The following is a 17,377-nucleotide window of genomic DNA, read 5'->3' as shown; positions in this document are numbered from 1 at the left end:
TAAGAGGTGGGGCCTTTTGGAAGGTGACCGATTAATTAGAGTGAAGCCTTCATGAATGAGATTAGCATCCTTATAAAAGAGGCCTGATGGAAGCTTGTTTGCCTTTTCTACCATGTGGGAACACAGCTAGAAGATGCCATTTATAAACCAGAAGAATGAGCACTCACCAGATAGCACATTTGCTGTTGCTTTGATCTCTTGATCTTGACTTCCCAGCCTCTAGAACTGGTAATTTGTTATAGCAGTCCAAGCTGACTAAGACAAAGTTTTACAGGTAAATTAAAAGATGGGAGGCCAGTTGCAGTGGCTTATGCCTGTAATCCCAGCACTTTGGGAGGCCGAGGCATGTGGATCATTTGAGGTCAGGAGTTTGAGACTAGCCTAGCCCACATGGTGGAACCCCATTCTACTAAAAAATACAAAAATTAGCCAGGCAGTAGTGGCACACGCCTGTAATCCCAGCTACTTGGGAGGCCGAGGCAGGAGAATTGCTTGAACCTGGGAGGCGGAGGTTGTGGTAAGCTGAGATCGCACCACTGCGCTCCAGTCTGGGCAACAGAGTGAGAGCCTGTCTCAAAAAAAAAAAAAAAAAAAAAAAAAAAAAAATTAAAAGATGGAAGGTAGACAACATAGTGAAACTCCATCTCTATAAAAATTTTTTAAAAATTAGCTGAGCGTAGTGGCATTTGCCTGTAGTTCCAGCTACTCGGGAGGCTGTGGAGGGAAGATTGCTTGAGCCCAGGAGGTTGAGGCTGCAGTGAGCTGTGATTGTGCCATAGCACTCCAGCCTGGGCAACAGAGCAAGACCTCATCTCAAAAATAAAATAAAATAAATAAATAAATAAATGTAGGAAGAAAAGTTTTCCTTCCTTCCCCTTCTCCTTCTCCTTCTCCTTTTCCTTTTGTTCTTCTTCCTTGTCAGCATGCCCCCAGAAAATGCAGTTGGCTTCAGCTTTCATCTTTTTATTCAATCAGAACCAGCCTCATCATTCTAGAGATACTAGTAGCAGCCAAGTGGTACCACCTACTCAGAGGTGTAAGAACCAACCCTGCCTGACCTCTCATGGGCTCCTAGAGTCTGGTAAAGGCCATTTTTCCTTTTCCTTTTCTAATACTAAAGGTGGTAGTAGCTTCCTACTTAGTACCTCTGGTTACCTAGCAATCCTTCTTTGCTCTTTCAATCCTTAACCACCTGTGTAACAAATTCCATATCAAGTCCCTTCTACAGAAACCTAGTGGTTTCTGTTTTCCCAATGGGATCTGACTGATATTCAGGTTGCATTCAGATTGTCCTGAGTCCAGGACACAGCATGGAAGCCAGAGAGGGCCCTTGGACTTGAAGGGTTGATTGGTACTGCATAAAACCCAGGAAATTTGAAAATACCTCCCAGAATAATTGATGATAAACATTCTGCCAACCTGGCTGGCCTCAAAGCCTAGATCAAGTTTGTTCATAGAAATAAAGAGAAGCAGTATTTATTTCATTCCCAACAATTGAAATTGAAATTAAAACCAACTATACTATTATTAAAAATCACCTGCAGAAAAACGTATTTCCTTGCTTCTCAGTTTTAAGAGAAACTTAAATATGCCTAAATTCCCCAAATTTGTTACCTATTTCCAAAAGAATAGGAATGTAAGGTTTTCATTTCAAGAACTAGTCTTACTCCTGACTGCTTGTAAAATTTTTATTTTCCTGGCCAGGCGCAGTGCCTCATCCCAGCACTTTGGGAGGCTGAGGTGGGTGGATCATGAGGTCAGGAGTTCGAGACCAGCCTGGCCAAGATGGTGAAACCCCGTCTCTACTAAAAATACAAAAAACATTAGCCAGGTGTGGTGGCGGGTGCCTGTAATCCTAGCTACTCAGGGGGCTGAGGCAGGAGAATCACTTGAACCCGGGAGACAGAGGTTGCAGTGAGCCGAGATCATGCCATTGCACTAGCCTGGGCGACAGAGCAAGACTCCGTTTCAAAAAAAAAATTATTTTCCTTTGTTTTCATTTTAGCAATCATGTAAATATATTTTGTCCAGCTAAGTTATAAGCACCATTATATTAGATCATTTTAGGCATAAGGTATAGTTTTAATGAACTATTTAATTAGCTTCCCCCATCCAATCTATTAGCAAATATTTTCCACTTAATTTTCTATAAATCTTTCAAGCACCCACTTACACCATCCTCATATACATCCTAGGGGCAGTCTATGTGGATATTTCGGAGACCTCTAATTCCTCCCTCCACTCCACAGCCAGAGTCATCTTTGTAAAAACAAATCTGCTTAAATTTAAGCTTAAATAAACTACTACTGTGCGTATGGGAAGTACCAACTTCTTCAAATGGCTGACATAAGGCTCTCTGGGATTTCTGTCCCCCCATTCCACTCCATTCTCATTTCTATCAAATTTCTGCCTTGAATCCTGGCCACCCTGGACTTGTATGAGATCCTCAAACCTCTGAGACTATTTGTTTTCCTCAGGGCTTTGAATATGTTTGTATTACTCTCTAGAGCTTTCTTCCCACACTATCCCCTATTTAATTCTCTCTCAGGTTCCAGCAACGTTATGCTTTGAATGTATGTTTTCCTCCAAAATGTATATGTTGGAACTTAAACACCAAGGTGATTGTATTAAGAGGTGAGAGCTATCACAGGTGATTAGGCCATCACCCCACAGGTGAGGGTCCCATCACCATGAATGGGATTAGTGCCCTTATGAAAGGGCCTGAGGTTGAGTTCACCCTTATTCCCTTTTGTCCCTTCCATCATGTGAGGACGCAGTGTTCATCCCTTCCAGAGGACACAGCAACAGGGTACCACCTTGGAGCAGAAAACCAGTCCAGCCCTTACCAGATACTAAATTTGCTGGCACCTTGGTTTTAGACTTCCCAGCCTCCCAAACTTTAAGAAATAAATTTATATTATTCATAAATTACCCAGTCTGCGGTATTTTGTTGTAGTAGCAGGAACAGATAAGATGAGCATCAATTTCACTTCCTCAGAAAAGCCTTCCCTGAAATGCCCTGTATCCCACCAGAGTTGGTTAGAAAATCCTGACATATCTGCATAGCACTCAGTACGCTTCCCTTTCTTGAAGCCATCACTCTTCTTCTTACTTATTTAAATGTCCGTTACTTTCAATAAGGCAGGAATTATGTCTAAAATATCCACTGTCCCTAACACAGTGTTTCATGCCTAGAAATATTTGTTGAATTAATGAAATAATAATTACTTCTACTCTGCCACTTAGGATTTTAGAGCTGGAAAAAATATCCTAGCGTTCCAGTCTTTTTGTTTTGTGAATTAAAAGTTAGTTTGTCCAGAAAAAGTCATATAGTTCGTTGCAGTTACAATATGCTTTACACATAATGAATAAATGAGTAAAAGAATGATAGCAGAGGTAGATCTAAAATCTTACCCTGATTTTGAAATATTATCTGTGAGGATTCCATATAATTCCAAGGGCATTGATAAATTACACCAGCTCCAAGAAAATAATTACATCAAATAATAATTTGGGCTCTTGTAGCATTTATAAATTATATGTCAACTTTTCACAGACATATATTCCTTCTTAAGTTAATTCTCAGTACATTCAATCATATTATTTTTAATCTTTAAGCAGAATTTCCTGTCTTGTATAATAAGATCTGTATTTCCTCCATGTATTTTTCCATGCCATGGGAATTGTTTGCTCCTTTATTTACTATTTATCTAATCTCCCTCCTCATTAATGGAAAATGTTTGAGTTAATTTACTCAGCAGTGGTGGTAGATTTACACATACACACCTCCTTTTCTTAGTCCCATCCCAACTGGCACACAACCTCAAGATAAATAAAAGCTGAATGACAACTGTGAGATCACACCCAGAGCCTTGATTTTATTTGCATTGTATTTGGATCAATAGAACTAACAAGACCACTCTGGAAAGTTTTTTCTTCCCAGTAAAACAACTAGTTAAAAATTATTTAAAACAAACAATAATTTAAAGTCTCCATAAGTTGTCCTAAGAGCATACAGCAAATGGAAAAACATTTACTCAAGAAAATCTACTACAGGGCTAGGCATGAGATGTACACACTTGTAATCCCAGCAGTTTGGGAGGCCAAGGTAGGAGGATTGCTTGAGCTCAGAAGTTTGAGACCAGCCTAGGCAATGTAGTGAAACCTCATTTCCATACACACAATACTTTTTTTTTAAATTAGCAATGCATAGGGGCACATCTGTGTAATCCCAGCTACTCAGGAGGCTAAGGTGAGAGGATCACTTGAGCCCAGGAGTTCGAAGCTGCAGTGAGCTGTGGTCACACCATTGCACTCCAGCCTGAGCAACAGAGCAAGATGAAAGAAGGAAGGAAGGAAGGAAGGAAGGAAGGAAGGAAGGAAGGAAGGAAGGAAGGAAGGAAGGAAGGAAGGAAGGAAGGAAAAAGAAAAAGAAAGAAAGAAAGAAAGAAAGAAAGAAAGAAAGAAAGAAAGAAAGAAAGAGAAAGAAAGAAAGAAAGGGAAAGAAAGAAAGAGATTTACTACATCTTGGTAAGAGCAGCACAAGATGGCGGTACTTGAACCACAACCTGCTCCCTCTTTCCCCTCTGTCAGCACACTTTGGCATAAGCTCCATTCCATGTGATATGGCCAAGATTACAGAATTCTCTATATCCCAGCCCCCAGTCAAGGGCTACGGTGTCTCTTCAGGAGGGGCAGGCCCCCACACTTCTCATCTCTTTCTATCCCACCTTCATGTTGCAGAAGCTACATTCTAAATAAGTGTAGCAAAGAGACTGGAGATTCTATTTTTCCACCAGCCACCACTCATAGGATGGAGGCTCTACCCTAGATGCAGCAGAGTGAGAATACTGGAATCATGACAGCCCTTGCCCCCACTCCAAGCTCCACTCTGAGAAACACAAGATGAGAAAACCAAAGAGGGCATGAAGAAACAGTATCTCAAGTTGCTACCATAAGTTATCTAAAATATGCTATTTTCAAAATTATAAGACATAGAAACAGGAAACTATAACCCATACACAGGGGAAAGCAGACAACAGAAACTGCCTGTGAGAGGGCCCAGATGTCAGACTTGGCAAACTTTAAAGCAGCTTTTATAAATACGTTCAAAGAATCTGCTGAAAGGAGCAAAACAGACTATGATGACAATTACTCATTATTGAGAGGAAAATTAATAATAAATAGAAATTATTATTATTATTATTATTATTTTGAGATGGAGTCTCGCACTGTCACCCAGGCTAGAGTGCAGTGGCGTGATCTTGGCTCACTGCAAGCCCGCCTCCCTGGTTCATGCCATTCACCTGCCTCAGCCTCTCAAGTAGCTGGGACTACAGGCGCCCGCCACCACGCCCGGCTAATTTTTTGTATTTTTAGTAGAGACAGCATTTCACCGTGTTAGCCAGGATGGTCTCAGTCTCCTGACTCGTGATCCGCCCACCTCAGCCTACCAAAGTGCTGGGATTACAGGCGTGAGCCACTGCGCCTGGCCCAGAAATTATTTTTTAAAAATAAAAATTCTGGAGTTCGGAAGTACAATAACTAAAAACTTATTAGAGGGTCTCAACAATAGATTTGGTCACTCTGAGAGAATCAGAGAACTTTAACAGCTTGATAGAGATTATGCAATCTGAAGAACAGGGCAAAGTGAATAAGGAAAAATAAACAGAGCCTTAGAGAAATGTGGGACACTATTAAGCTCACCAATATATGAGTAATGAATGTAACAGCAGAGAAGAGAGAGAAAAGAACACAAAAATAGTTGTGCTATAATTAATTAAAAGATTATAAGAAATAATTGCTGTAAACCTTCTAAATTTGATTTAAAGCACCAGTTTACACACACAAGAAGCTTGATGAACTTACTCAAGGTAACAATAAAGATATCCACACCCAGACACATCATAATAAAAATGTTGAAAAACAAAGAAAATTTTGAAAGTGCAAGAGGAAAATCACTTCTGATATATAAAGAAACCCAATAAGATTAATAGTCAACTTCTCATTGGAAACAATGGAGGCTGATGGCAGTGGAATGACATATTGAAAGTGCTGAAAGGAAAAAAACTTGTCAACCAAGAATCTTACCTTGAGCAAAAATATCTTTCAAAAATGAGGATTAAATAAGGCATTCTCAGGTAAATAAAAACTGAGAGAATTTGCTGCAAGCAGATCAATCTTACAAAAGCTATAAAGGGATTTATTTGGGATAAGAGCAATTGAGCCCAGGGAGGAGTTCGAATCCACATAAAGAAACAAAGAGCACCAGTGACGGTAATAATGCAAATATAAAGATGGTATCAATGTATATTTCTTTTCCTTTCTCCTCCTAATTTAATTAAAAAGTTATTGTATAAAACAATATGTACATAATTTTATTTTTAGGCCTATGACATAGAGAAATGTAATATATTTGACAATAGTGGCACAAAGGAGGCAAGTGGAGCAAAGCTGGATTGCACTAAGGCGATTACATCAGATGGTAACTCAAATCCACATGGACAAAGGAACAAGAAATGATAAATAAGAAGGTTAAAACAATAAATTCAAAAAATATATACTTGTTCCCCTTTTTTCTTTTAGCTTCTTTACAGTTATACAAATGCAACAATACATTGTTATAGTAATAATGATACATTGTTATAATTATAACAATGTATTCTTTGGTTTGTCACACATATAGGTATAATATGTACAACAACAATAGCATGACAAAGGGAAAGAGAAAATAGAGTTATAGAGAAGTAATGCTTTTATATCTCACTGAAATTAAATTGATATAACCTGAAGTCGATTCTGATACATTAAGATGTATATGGTATGCTCTAGCACTATCACTAAAAAAATTTTAAATATAATGAAAAATGTATTAAGAAATTAAAATGCTACATTAGAAAATACTAATTTAATGCCAAAGAAAGTAGCTAAGGAGGAATACAGAAAGAGAAAAGATATGAGACATATAGAAAATAAAAAGTAAATTGGCTGGCATAAATACAAGTATATTAATAGTATTAATAGTATTTGTTTGAGCCCAGGAGTTCAAAGCTGCAGTGAACTATGATTAAACCACTGCACTCTAGCCAGTGTGACAGAGCCAGATGCTGTCTCTAAATAAGTAAACAAATAAATAATAAAAAGAATAAAGGCTAAAATTCTCTGTCTTCCCATTTATTAAAAAAAATTCCTTTTCTCATGGTACAACAAAGCAAAACAAAACATAGTATTAATGTGAATGAGTTAAATGATCCAATAAAAATGCAGATTATTAGATTGAATTTTTTAATGATCCAACTATATGCTGTATATAAGGAGACATACTTTACACCTAAAGATTCACATACGTAGAAAGTAAAGGGATTGAAAAAGATACATCATGCAAAGAACAACAATAAGAAAGCTAGAGTGACTATATCAATATCAGACAAAATAGACTTCAAAGCAAAAAAAAAAAAGTCACTAGCATTAAAGACAGACATTTTATAATGATGAAAGAGTCAATCCATCAGGAAGATATAACTATTATAAATATACATGTTCCTAATAACAGATCCCCCAAAATATAAGCAAAAACTGACAGTATTGAAAGGCAAGATAGACAATTCAACAATCGTATTTGGATACTTCAATATACCACTTTCAGTAATGGGTAGAACAACTAGAAGATCGATAAATAAGTAGAAAATATGAACAACACTATAAACTAACCAGACCTAACAGGTATGTATAGAACATTCCACTCATAACAACAGAATACACATTCATCTCAAGTGCATATGGAACATCCTTCAGGGTAAATCATATATTAGGTCATAAAACAAGCCACAATAAATTTTAAAAGTTACAATCATACAAACTGTGTTTCATCCAAAGTCTGTTCTCAGACCATAATAAGTGAAATTTGAAATAATAATAGAAGGAAATTTGGGAAATTCACAAATATGTGGAACTTAAACACACTTCTAAATATAAATTTGAAAAGGAAATTAGAGTATACTCTATGATGCATAAAAATTAAAACAGGACACTCCAAAATATTGCTTGCAGTTAAAACAGTGCTTAGAGGGAAATTTATAGCTATAATTGCCTATATTGAGAAAAAAACGAAGATCTCAAACAAATAATGTAACTTTCCACCTTAAGACTCCAGAAAAAGGAAAGCAACCTGATACTAAAGCAATAATAAGAAAAAAATGAATATTTGAGTAGAAATTAGTGAAATAGAGACTAGAACGCAATAGAGAATACCAATAAAACCAGAAGTTGGCTCTTTACAAAGATCAACATAGCTCAAATTTTTATCAAAACTGACCAAGGGGACAAAAAGAAGACAAGGGAGCATGTATTCAGAGCTACTTGAATTTATATCTCCTAAGTTAGGAAAAAAAGGAGAGAAGACTAAAATTACTAAAATCAGGAATAGAAGGGAGGCATAACTACCAACCTAATGAGAGTAATGGATTATTAAAGGATTTTATAATCCATTTTATTGGCATACCATTATTTATAGTATTTCCTTAAAACAATTATAAGGAAATACTATAAACAAGTGTATGCTAACAAAATTGATAACTTACAGGAAATGGAAAAAGTCCTATAAAGTGCAAACTACTGAAACAAGTTTAAGAAAAAAAAATTGGAGTAAACCTGTAACAAATGAAGACAGTGAATTTGTGTGTTAGGGTTCTCCAGAGAAACAGAACTAACAGGATGTGTGTGTATACATATATATATATATAAAGATGTGAGTGTACACACAGCCAGATAGATATGTAGATAGATGATTGATGATAGATAGATAGATAGATAGATAGATAGATAGATAGAGAGATAGACAGAGATTTACTAAAAGGAATTGGTTCACACGATTATGAAAGCTGGCAAGTGTGGCCATATTTCACTCAAAATCTGCAGTGTGGCCTGTCAGATTGGAGACCCAGAAAAGCCAATGGAGAAGATGAAGTCCAAGGACAGTCTGCTGAAGAATTTTCCTCTTGCACAGAAAGGCTAATCTTTTTGTTCTATCCCGGCTTTCAACTGATTGAATGAGGCCCACCCACATGACGAAGGGCAATCTGCTTTCCCCAGAGTTCAACAATTTCAATATTAATCCCATTCAAAGCACTATCCAAGCTGACACAGAAAATTAACCAACAGAATAATCAATCTACACAATTAATAACTGATCTACTGTCCAAATTGAGCTACAGAGTCTACACAATACATATCAAAATCTCAGCTGACTGTTTATAGATATGAACAAGCTGATCATAAAGCGATATGGAAGTACAAGTGATCCCAAATAGCCAAAACAATCTCAAATAAGAACAAATTTGGGAAATTCACACTTACCTATTTCAAATAACTCTTACAACTTAATAAAAAGACAAATAGCCCAATTAAAAATGAACAAAAAATCTGAATAGGCATTTCCCCAAAGGTATACAAATGATCAAAAACACATGATAAAGCTTAACATCATTAGTTATCCCTGTCTTGTGCCAGTTTTCAAAGGCCTTTTCTGCAACTATTGAGATAATCATGTGGTTTTTGTCTTTGGTTCTGTTTATATGCTGGATTACGTTTATTGATTTGTGTATGTTGAACCAGCCTTGCATCCCAGGGATGAAGCCCACTTGATCATGGTGGATAAGCTTTTTGATGTGCTGCTGGATTCAGTTTGCCAGTATTTTATTGAGGATTTTTGCATCAATGTTCATCCAGGATATTGGCCTAAAATTCTCTTTTTTGTTGTGTCTCTGCCAGGCTTTGGTATCAGGATGATACTGGCCTCATAAAATGAGTTAGGGAGGATTCCCTCTTTTTCTATTGATTGGAATAGTTTCAGAAGGAATGGTACCAGCTCCTCCTTGTACCTCTGGTAGAATTCAGCTGTGAATCCGTCTGGTCCTGGACTTTTTTTGATTGGTAGGCTATTAATTATTGCCTCAATTTCAGAGCCTGTTATTGGTCTATTCAGGGATTCAAGTTCTTTCTGGTTTAGTCATGGGAGGGTGTATGTGTCCAGGAATTTATCCATTTCTTCTAGATTTTCTAGTTTATTTGCGTAGAGGTGTTCATAGTATTCTCTGATGGTAGTTTGTATTTCTGCGGGATCAGTGGTGATATCCCCTTTAATGCAAATCAAAACCACAGTGAGATACCATCTCACACCAGTTAGAATGGCGATCATTACAAAGTCAGGAAACAACAGGTGCTGCAGAGGATGTGGAGAAGTAGGAACACTTTTACACTGTTGGTGGGAGTGTAAACTAGTTCAACCATTGTGGAAGACAGTGTGGCGACTCCTCAAGGATGTAGAACTAGAAATACCATTTGACCCAGTCATCCCATTACTGGGTATATACCCAAAGGATTATATATCATGCTGCTATAAAGTCACATGCACATGTATGTTTATTGCGGCACTATTCACAATAGCAAAAACTTGGAACCAACCCAAATGTCCATCAATTATATACTGGATTAAGAAAATGTGGCACATATACACCATGGAATACTATGCAGCCATAAAAAAGGATGAGTTCATGTCCTTTGCAGGGACATGGATGAAGCTGGAAACCATCATTCTCAGCAAACTATCGCAAGAACAAAAAACCAAACACCGCATGTTCTCATTCATAGGTGGGAATTGAACAATGAGAACACTTGGACACAGGAAGGGGAACATCACACACTGGGGCCTGTTGTGGGGTGGGGGAAGTGGGGAGGGAAAGCATTAGGAGATATACCTAATGTAAATGACGAGTTAATGGGTGCAGCACACCAACATGGCACATGTATACATATGTAACAAACCTGCACGTTGTGCACATGTACCCTAGAACTTAAAGTATAATAATAAAAAAAAATCATTAGCTATCATGTAAACGCAAATAAAAAGTCACAATGAGATACCATTTTACACCAACTAGGATGATCATAATAACGAAGATACATAATAACAAATATTAGTGAGTGCGATGATTAACTTTATGCATCAACTTGACAGGGCTAAGGGATGGCCAGATAGCTGGTAACGCATCATTTCTGGGTGTGTCTGTGAGGGTATCTGTGGAAGAGATTAGCATTTGAATCAGTAGACTGAGTAAGGAAGATGACCCCCACCAGTGAGGACAGGCATCATCCAATCTGTTGAGGGCCCAAATATCATATTATAATAGAACGTTCTATTATAATACTATATTATAATACTACTATATTTTTATAATAATATTCTATTACAATAGAACATTCTATTATTATACTACATTATAATAGAACAAAATGGCAGTGAAAAGGGGGCAAATTAATTCTCTGTTTGAGCTGGGACATCCATCTTCTCCTGCCTATGAACATGCGCGCTCCTGGTTCTCAGGCCTTTGAACTTGGAGTGGGGCTTATATTATCACCTCCCAACCCCCTTCTCAGGCCTTTGGACTCAGATCAAGACTTACATCATCATTGGCTGCCCTGGTTCTCAGGCCTTGAGACTCAGGCTGAATTATACCAGTGGCTTTCCTGGTTCTCCAGCTTGCTGATGACAGGTTGTGAGGCTTCTCAGCCTTCATAATCATGTAAACCAATTCCCATAATAAATATGTGTTTGTGTGTGTGTGTGTCTGTGTGTATGTGTGGTGTGTGGCGTGTGTGCATGTGTATCCTATTGGTTCTGTTTCTCAGGAGTACTCTAATACAGTGAATGTGTGGAAAAATTGGAATCTTCATACACTACTGATAGAAATTTACATTGACACAGTCCCTACAGAAAAACAACTAAGCAGTTAGCTAAGACAGGTATTATTATTAATTTTTATACTTTAAGTTATAGGGTACATGTACACAACGTGCAGGTTTGTTACATAGGTGTACATGTGCCATGTTGGTTTGCTGCACCCTACTCTTCATTTACATTAGGTATTTTTCCTAATACTATCCCTCCCCCTGCCTCCCACCCCACAGGCCCCCATGTGTGATGTTCCCTGCCCTGTGTCCAAGTGTTTTCATTGTTCAATTCCCACCTATGAATGAGAACATGTGGTGTTTGGTTTTCTGTCCTTGTGATAGTTTGCTGAGAATGATGGCTTCCAGCCTCATCCATGTCCCTGCAAAGGACATCAACTCATTCTTTTTTATGGCTGCGTAGTATTCCATGGTGAATATGTGCCACATTTTCTTAATCCAGTCTATCACTGATGGACATTTGGGTTGGTTCCAAGTTTTTGCTATTGTGAATAGTGCCACAATAAACATACATGTGCATGTGCCTTTATAGCAGCATGATATATAATCCTTTGGGTATATACCCAGTAATGGGATGGCTGGGTCAAATGGTATTTCTAGTTCTAGATCCTTGAGGAATCGCCACACTGTCTTCCACAATGGTTGAACTAGTTTACACTCCCACCAACAGTGTAAAAGTGTTCCTGTTTCTCCACATCCTCTGCAGCACCTGTTGTTTCCTGACTTTTTAATGATCACCATTCTAACTGGTGTGAGATGGTATCTCATTGTGGTTTTGATTTGCATTTCTCTGATGGCCAGTAATGATGAGCATTTTTTCATGTGTCTGTTGGCTGCATAAATGTCTTGTTTTGAGAAGTGTCTGTTCATATCCTTTGCCCACTTGTTGATGGGGTTGTTTGTTTTTTTCTTGTAAATTTGTTTAAGTTCTTTGTAGATTCTGGATATTAGCCCTTTGTCAGGTGGGTAGATTGCAAAAATTTTCTCCCATTCTGTAGGTTGCCTGTTCACTCTGATGGTAGCTTCTTTTGCTGTGGAGAAGCTCTTTAGTTTAATTAGATCTCATTTGTCTATTTTGGCTTTTGTTGCCATTGCTTTTGGTGTTTTAGACATGAAGTCCTTGCCCATGCCTATGCCCTAAATGGTATTGCCTAGGTTTTCTTTTAGGGTTTGTATGGTTTTAGGTCTAACATTTAAGTCTTTAATCCATCTTGAATTAATTTTTGTATAAGGTGTAAGGAAGGGATCCAGTTTTAGCTTTCTACATATGGCTAGCCAGTTTTCCCAGCACCATTTATTAAATAGGGAATCCTTTCCCCATTTCTTGTTTTTGTCAGGTTTGTCAAATGTTGCAGGTTGTAGATGTGTGGTGTTATTTCTGAGGGCTCTGTTCTGTTCCATTGGTCTATCTCTCTGTTTTGGTACCAGTACCGTGCTGTTTTGGTTACTGTAGCCTTGTAGTATAGTTTGAAGTCAAGTAGTGTGATGCCTCTAGCTTTGTTCTTTTGGCTTAGGATTGTCTTGGCAATGTGGGCTCTTTTTTGGTTCCATATGAACTTTAAAGTAGTTTTTCCAATTCTGTTAAGAAAGTCATTGGTAGCTTGATGGGGATGGCATTGAATCTATAAATTGCCTTAGGAAGTATGGCCATTTTCACAATATTGATTCTTCCTGACCATGAGCATGGAATGTTCTTCCATTTGTTTGTGTTCTCTTTTATTTTGTTGAGCAGTGGTTTGTAGTTCTCCTTGAAGAGATCCTTCACATCCCTTGTAAGTTGGATTCCTAGGTATTTTATTCTCTTTGTAGCAATTGTGAATGGGAATTCACTCACAATTTGGCTCTCTATTTGTCTGTTTTTGGTGTATAGGAATGCTTGTGATTTTTGCACATTGATTTTGTATCCTGAGACTTTGCTGAAGTTGCTTATCAGCTTAAGGAGATTTTGGGCTGAGATGATGGGGTTTTCTAAATATACAGTCATGTCATCTGCAAACAGGGACAATTTGACTTCCTGTTTTCCTAATCGAATACACTTTATTTATTTCTCTTGCCTGATTGCCCTGGCTAGAACTTCCAACACTATGTTGAATAAGGGTGGTGAGAGAGGGCACCCCTAAGACAGGTATTATTTTCATTTTACAGATGAGAAGTTCATCAAAAGATTAAACACAGAGTTAGTGTATGATGTAGCAATTCCATTCCTAGGCATATAGTCGACTGAACAAGTAAAAGAGAAGGGTGTTGAGAATCAAAATGAATGTGGAGGAGGCAAAGAAAACAAGTCTCATAACACACCTTAAAAACAAACATCTTATGGGGATAAAATAACATTAACAGTTCTAGCCAACTCAACTGAAAGAGGTTTCTCCTTACTAATCCTAATGTCCAGCCATCTGACCCCACTGTCCCAGGTAAACTGGAGACATCTCCATCTCTAGTTTTGTTTTGGCCAGTTTAAGAAATAGCATTTTGGCCAGGCGCAGTGGCTCATGCCTGTAATCCCAGCACTTTGGAAGGCCAAGGTGGGCAGATCACAAGGTCAGGAGATCAAGACCATCCTCGCTAACATGGTGAAACCCCGTCTCTACTAAAAATACAAAACAATTAGCTGGGCATGGTGGCAGGCAGCTGTAGTCCCAGCTACTTGGGAGGCTGAGGCAGGAGAATGGCATAAACCCGGGAGGCGGAGCTTGCAGTAAGCTGAGATGGCGCCACTGCCCTCCAGCCTGGGCGACAGAGCGAGACTCCATCTCAAAAAAAAAAAAAAAAAGAAATAGCATTTTATCATTTACTTGCATTGCCTTATTTTATTCTAATCATCATATTCTTGTGCATTAGCCTGAAGAGGTGTTATTATTACCATTTTACATATGGGAAGACTGGGACTCCAGAAATTAAGCTGGCAACTAGCATCAAGCAAAGGTGGAACTCAGACACAGAATGTTTGATTTCCAGTTTAGTGTTCCTTATATTGTGCTGTTCTGTATAGTGTACCACCTTCTCAGCATATATTGCTTATTCTCCCTGATAATGTTTTATTTGGAGTGTTAATAATTAAAAACATTAATTGCAGTATGTATTTTAATTGATGGGCTCTGCTGATTTCAGAAACCACAAAACCACTGATTTATCAGATTGAGTAAGGAGTCCAGTCAGCAATGGAATTTATTAGCCCAGCTCTGCAGACATTACTAATATTTTCCTTAAGCAACATATTCCCTAAAACAGATGAAAGCAAAAAGCCCATGGCTAAAGCAAAGTGGATGGAACCCCACCAAATAAACATCATTAAAGTATGTTATTATATGTTAATTTTTCAGTAAAACTTTGTGTCCTCTAGCTTTGTCTTCTGCTTCTACTCTTCTTTTAAACACTATCATTACTAGATGTGTAATTGGCCCTCATGTAAAAACATTCTATTTTCTCAGTCTAATGAAGATAATTTACATTTCAAAACTTTAAAAATTAGAAATTATGAGTTTGAAAAGAAAAAGAAATGTAGTCTTGAACATAACCTCTAAAACTAAGACTATGTTGAGTGACTCCGGAATCCTCTCCACAATAGACAAATATTACCAAGGAATATAAAATATTATATTTCTGTTTGTTTGTGTTTTTAATTATAATATTCTAATAGTTCAGATTTGGACCATTTCTTTTTTTAAAGAATTTCCCTTAAGCTATAATAAATCATACAGGTGAAAAATGATATATGTGATCAGAGAAAATTTGTCTCTCTTTGAGGAAAGTAAAAGTTTGTGCCTGACTGGCTACTCCCAGAAAATCTGGAAAAGAGAGCTTATTTCTGTCTAGGCAGTGACGAACAAAAGGCTAACTTTTTTCAGGATTAAAAAATATGAGCCAGGAGCCAGGAGAGATTACAACAGAGTCCCAGCCATGCTGAGGGGTTCCTGGCTAACTTCTCCCTGATCCTCCCCACCCAAAACTGTCTAATATTATAAGGGGTAGGGTGTCACCTACAGAATTTCTCCAGCTGTTGAGCAATTATTCTTGTATCAAGAGAAAGTCTCCTCCTACATACTTTACAACCTGTATGTTTTTCCCCTTTACTTGATATTAAATCTTGCTCCTCAGGGTTAAAAGGAGCTAAGGAGCCTGCAACAGAATCAACTTGCAAACTAGTAGACTGGTTTGTTTTGTTAATGGTAATAACTGTTCTCGTTATTGGTTGCTGTATAACAAACTATGCCAAAACTTAATGGCTTAATACTACAAGTATTTTATTATACCTCCTTATTTTATAGGTATGGTATCTGGGCAGGGCTCAGCAGGGTGATTCTTCTGTCCCACATGGCACAACAAAGATCATTTGATGGTATTCTGCTGGTGGATCAGCTGCTTTGGAGAATCTAAAACAGCATCACTTTTGTGTCTGGCACCTTGGCAGGAATGGCTAGAAGGCTTGAATAAACAGGTACTGTATATCAGAAGCCTCTCTAAACAGGTAGTCTTAGAATAGCTGAAATTTTCTCATGGCAGCTCAAGACTCCCAGAGACCAAGAGACCCAGGTAGAAGCTGCAAAGCTTCTTACAACTGAGACTCAGAAGTCCCACATGACACTGTTGCAGTGTCATCTTTATCAAACTAGTCACTTATGGCAATGCAGATTCGAGTGAGTTATTACACTTCACCTCTCAATGAAGAAATAACAAAGAATTTGCCTCAATCTTTAATCTACCATAAAGTCTGTGGCCATTGAGCATTCAGTAATTTCTGCTGCTTTCAGTAATTTCTACAGTAAACTAAATTGCACAGTAACACAAAATCAACGATTCACCCAGTTAAGCATCAGCCTATCATCCCAACTCCTTGTAAACTGATTCTTTAAAAGTAGTATAGTGTGAATGAATGCTCATGGTAGTTTTCTTCACCCACCCCCTACAAATTCTCCTTCTTTGATCTCACCCGTGCATTGCAGAGTTCACCCAAGCATAGTTTTGTCTCGAAGATCCCTGCCTCAGCTTCCCAGCTAGAGTACCTCAGTCCCAGCCCAGCATCCCAGACCTCTGTTTGTCTAAGACAAAAGATTAAAGCATCACCAGTTCTCAAAGTTTATGCCATTACACTATTCTGTGTTTGTTTATAAATAGAGCCAGCATGATTTGAGGATGATGAAGGACATACCTGCTCCAGAATGAAAAGCTTCATTTTGGAGGTGAGGGGGGCTAAATTATCAGTGGATGGGAGTTACATTTCTTGGCTCCTTTTTTGACAAAAGTAATACAAAAACAAATTTTTGATGGAAAACTTCAAACACCATAGAAGTTGTAACATTTAGCCCAGTCAGCCATAACAAAATACCACAGACTGTAGGGTTTAAACAACAGAAATGCATTTTCTGACAGTTCTGGAGGCCAGAAGTACAAGATCAAGGCATCACAAGGTTTGATTTCTGGTGAGAGCTCTCCTCCTGGCTTGAAGATGGCTGCTTTGTCCTCATGGCTTTTCTTCTGAGCAGGGACATACACACACACACACACATGCATGCACACACACACACACACACACACGGAGAGAGACAGAGAGAGAGAGACAGAGAGAGCACTTCAGCTGCCTGGTGTCTCCTCTTCTAAGGACAGTAATCTTATTAGACCAGGGCCTCACTGT

Source organism: Homo sapiens, chromosome 13 (genome assembly GCF_000001405.40).
Source record: "Homo sapiens chromosome 13, GRCh38.p14 Primary Assembly".
NCBI lineage: Eukaryota > Metazoa > Chordata > Mammalia > Primates > Hominidae > Homo > Homo sapiens.
Note: the sequence above shows the minus strand (reverse complement) of the source record.